This window comes from Homo sapiens, chromosome 4, assembly GCF_000001405.40.
Source record: "Homo sapiens chromosome 4, GRCh38.p14 Primary Assembly".
NCBI classification, from domain to species: Eukaryota; Metazoa; Chordata; class Mammalia; order Primates; family Hominidae; genus Homo; species Homo sapiens.
The window spans coordinates 62395148-62399776 of record NC_000004.12 but is presented as its reverse complement, the minus strand read 5'-3'; the positions used below and the strand labels follow the sequence as shown (position 1 = coordinate 62399776).

General features: G+C 35.1%; 2 annotated features.

Moving 5' to 3' along the window:
• Positions 267-336: an enhancer, noted in NCBI's record as "active region_21590". NCBI's record gives its function as "activates an Ori minimal core promoter by ATAC-STARR-seq in GM12878 lymphoblastoid cells {active_cell/tissue: GM12878}" and the evidence as "EXISTENCE:reporter gene assay evidence [ECO:0000049][PMID:35858748]".
• Positions 347-406: an enhancer, noted in NCBI's record as "active region_21589". NCBI's record gives its function as "activates an Ori minimal core promoter by ATAC-STARR-seq in GM12878 lymphoblastoid cells {active_cell/tissue: GM12878}" and the evidence as "EXISTENCE:reporter gene assay evidence [ECO:0000049][PMID:35858748]".

Below are 4629 nucleotides of genomic sequence, written 5' to 3'. Positions count from 1 at the left end.
ATTTTTAAAGTTTTACATTTTTTATAATGCAAATGCCCCGATACAGATAAATTTGTAATTTGTTAGCAAATCTAGTTTCTTCTTTCCAAAAATCTATCTTGAAATTTTTTTTTAAATTTCTCAAAAACTCTTATTCTTTGAGGAATTCTGGCAAAATTAAAGTTAACCTGTATGGGAAGTGGAATCTGTCATGCTTATCTGGCACGAGTGGTCAGATAAATAATAGAATTACACATCCTCGAAAAATCTGCCTGTTCCTTTGAGAGATGGCTGTTAAAAAGAGCCCAACACTCCTCCTGCTCTCTTTCACTTTCTCTCTCTCTTGCTTCCTCTCTCACCACGTGACGTCTGTACTTGCTGGCTTCCCCTCACCTTCTACCATGACTGGAAGTAGCCAGAGGTCCTCACCAGAAGCAGAGGCTGGCAGCTCCATGTCTTTTGTGCAGCCTGCAGAAACTTGAGCCAAATAAACCTTTCCTTTATAAATTACCCAGCCTTGTGTATTTCTTTATAGCAACACAAACTAACACAGAAAATTGGCACTAAGGAGTGAGGCATTGCTTTAAAGATGCCTGAAAATGCAGAATTGGCTTTGGAACTGGGTTATGGGCAGAGGTTGGAAGAGTTTGGCAGTCAAGAAGACAGAAAGGATAAGGGAAAGTTTGAAACTTTGTAGAGACTGGTTAAGTAGTTGTGTCAAAAAACCTGATAGAAATATGGGGAGTAAAGGCCATGCTCATGAGGTCTCTGATGGAGATGAGAAACATACGCAGAATGGGAGAAAAGGTGGTCATTTTTACATGGTAGCATAGAACCTAGCTGCACTGTGTCCATGCCCTAGGGTGTTTTGGAAGATTGAACTTAAGAGTGAGGACCTAGAGTATCCAGCAAAAGAAATTTCTAAGCAGCAGAGTATTCAAGAAGTGGTGTTGATATTTTCAACAGCTTACAATCATGCTTAGTAACAAAAGAATGCCCCAAAGGTGGTATTTATAATTAAAAGGGAAACAGCATAAAAACTGGAAAAATGTGAGAAGAACATAAGTTTTGGGCCAGAGACAAAATGCAACAGTAAGGATATTGCACTCCTCCAAATCTCATGTTAAAATTTGATCCCCAGTGTTAGAGGTGGAACTTAATGGGAGGTGTTTGGGTCATGTGGGTGGATCCCACATGAATGGCTTGGTGCAGTCCTTGCTGTAATGAGTGAGAGCTGGTTGTTAAAAAGAGCCTGGCACCTCCTCTTGGTCTTTCTCACTTTATCTGTCTGTTGCTTTCTCTCTTGCCATGTGATTTGCGTACATGCTGGCTCCTCTTCCCCTTCTACCATAAGTGAAAGCAGCCAGATATCCTCATCATAAGTGGATGCTGGTGCCGTGCTTCTTGTGCAGCCTGTAGAACTGTGAACCCAATAAATGTCCTTTATAAATTACCGAGCCTCAAGAATTCCTTTATGCAACACAAATAGAGTAAAACAGCTTGGAAACTAGATAATCAATATTGCTAAAAATCTCCATCCCTCTAAAAAGAGGTAAAACGTTTCAAATGATAGCTTACCACTAAAGTCAGCAAATTACATTGGTGAAAGGCCATATTGTAAATACTTTAGACTTTGTGGCCATTCCATATGGTCTTTGTCCCGATTACTCAACTCTGCCATTGCAGCCAGAAAGCAGTCAGTCAATACATGAGCCCAAGGATGTGGCTTTTTTCCAAAAAATAGGCAGTAGGCCTGATATTCATATATTATGTTTTCACTTTCATTAGGTTTGAGGTATTTTATAAATCCTTTCTAATTCTTTCCTTGACCTATAAATTAATTAGAATTGTGTTATTTAATTTCTAAATGTTTTGAGGTTTTCCTAGGCATATTATTGTTATTGATTCTAATTTAATTCCTCTGTAATCTGAAAACATACTCTATATGATTTTAAATCCTTCAAATTTATTGAGACTAGTTTTACGGCCTAACGTATGTGTATTATATCATGCTGAAAATGCTATGTACTTTAAAAATTTATATTTTTCTGTTATTGTGTGTAATGTCCTATAAATATTCACCAGGTCAAGGTGATTGAAAGTGTTATTCAGATCATACTACTTATTACTTGCATTTTTTTTAGCAATTTCTGATTGTTAGGTATAATGGGTACATTTTCTTTCTCCATTTTATTCTGCTATTTTTTGCTTCATGTATTTTGAAGCTCTGTTATTAGATGCACCCACAATTTTTATAGCAATAGGTTCCTAATTAATTGACCCTTTTATCATTATGAAATGCTCTTCAATAGCTCTGATAATGCTCTTTATCTTGAAACATATTTTATCTCATATTAACATAGCCATTTCAGCATTTTTATGTTTGCTGTTGCAAGTCTGTAGCTTGACTTCACTTATAAAAAATATTTTTATTGGATCTAAAAGTCTCAGTTGACAGGTTTGCTTATTTTCTCTTTAAAGATGTTATTTCATGCCATATGCTAACATTGTTTCTGAAGAAAAGTTTGTAGTCATTTGAAACTTGAATTGCTGTTCCTCTCTTTTTAATGTCTTTTTTGCTGGCTGCTCTCAAGATTATCATTTATCTTTTGTTTTTAGCTGTTTGACTATGATGTACTCATTATTATTTTCTTCATATTTTCATTCTCATTTTCTTCATATCCTGTTTGGGCTTTACTGAGCTTCTTCTTCTTGGATCTGTAATATTATATCTTTCAATAAAATGGGAACATGTACATCCATTATATCTTCACACATATGTTACACCTTTTGACATCCTGCAGCTCGCTGAGGCTCTATTCATGTTTTAAAATATCTTTTCTCTCTTTAAGATAGGATAATTGGTGCTTATCTATATTTAAGTTTGTGGACTCTGTTCTTTGTCATTTCCATTCTGCTTTTATGCCCATGTGGTGAATTTTTAAATCTACGTATCGTATTTTCGTTTTTTTTTTAAATTTTTCTATTTATTTATTTTTGTTGAGACGGAGTTTCACTCTTGTTGCCCAGTCTGGAGTGCAATGGTGTGATCTCGGCTCACTACAACCTCTGCCTTCCGGGTTCAAGTGATTCTTCTGCATCAGCCTGCTGAGTAGTTGGGACTATAGGCATGCACCACCAGTATTTTCACTTTTAGAATTTTCCTTTTATTGATTCCTATATTTCTGTTAAAATTTATGTTTTTCATTTGGTATCACTGTTTTTTAAATCTTATTCATTAATTTAATTGCTTTCTTAAAATCCTTGTCTGCTCATTCTAATATTCAACTCATCGTGGGGTTGGTCCTGCTGTCTTTTTTTTAAGACTAGATCATATTTTTATGTTGCTTCAAATAATAATTTTTTCTTATAAACTGGTCACTGAAATTTTGTTGTGGAGAGACTTTTAATTTTGTTATATTTCTCTGAAAAATACTGATTTTTTAAATCTGACAATTAGTTGGATTCCAGTTAAAAACTGTTGATTGAGAAAGTTCAAACTTGTTTTATTTCTTTTACCTTCATCTGGGCTGCTTTGAATCTGCCCAGCTCATGCACATTTGGGGCTCATGCAGAGATTTAGATAGAGTCTCAACACAGAATTTGTGCTTCTCGGCTAGCTTTTGCTTTTGTGGGGTTCCTTGTTTTCTGGTTCCAAAGGCTGTATTTGCCACAAATTTCTGTTATTTGTTTTTTTCAGCTCAGACAGACTGCATGTTTTCTATCAGGGATTTAGCTACCCCACATGATATTGACTGATGCTTTCTATTACGCTAAGTAATTAAAAATGAGAAATTTACCCAGTGCTAACTTTTCTTCAGTGTTGATCCCCACACAGAATTTCCTTGTAATTTACTCTCTAGTGTCTTCAGGTTATTGTTATTCATTTATTAGTTTGTGTTGTTTTATTTTGTATTTTGACCTGAACTTATCATTGTTATCTCCAGGAATTCCTGTTCAATAGGTTTTGGTCATTTAAAAAAAGTATATAGCTGCCTAATTTATTTTTTAAGTGTGAATACCAAACCATACATTTACCTCATATATTTTACTTTATTGGGTCTGCTACATCCTCAATTATTCTGTTTTTCAACACATAATGTTGAGGATTTATCAACAAAATGCATGAATTATATTGAATGAATCAGATAATTTCAGAAATTCCTTTTAACATCCATTGTACTGTCTTTCTCTCCCAGTTGTATTTTCATACAGGCAGTAGCCTTTAATTTTAATAATTGCTGGAGTTATTTACAAAAAAATTAAGTTATTTAGACCTATGGCATATGATTTCAGATCCCCCTTTAGGTTGTCACTAATTCTTGCCACCTTACTTAAGCGTTGCTACAAAATACATAGGCATGCATCTGTCCCTCTCTCTCCCTCTAGGTTTAACACAGACATACACATTCTTATTAAATTCACATTTACTTATATTTTGGGCTCATACTCGCATCCTTTTCTATAGTACCATCTTTGATAGGAACTCCCCTTTCTGGGTCTTAATCTAGCTGATGACTCACTAAAATGGGACCATAGGAGCTCTGTTCTCATAATGGAGTGTTGATGAAATCACACACAAGAACACCCCACCAGATCAGGCTAAAGCTGATCCGAAACACCTCTGCTCTTTCCTGCTTTCATTACAAT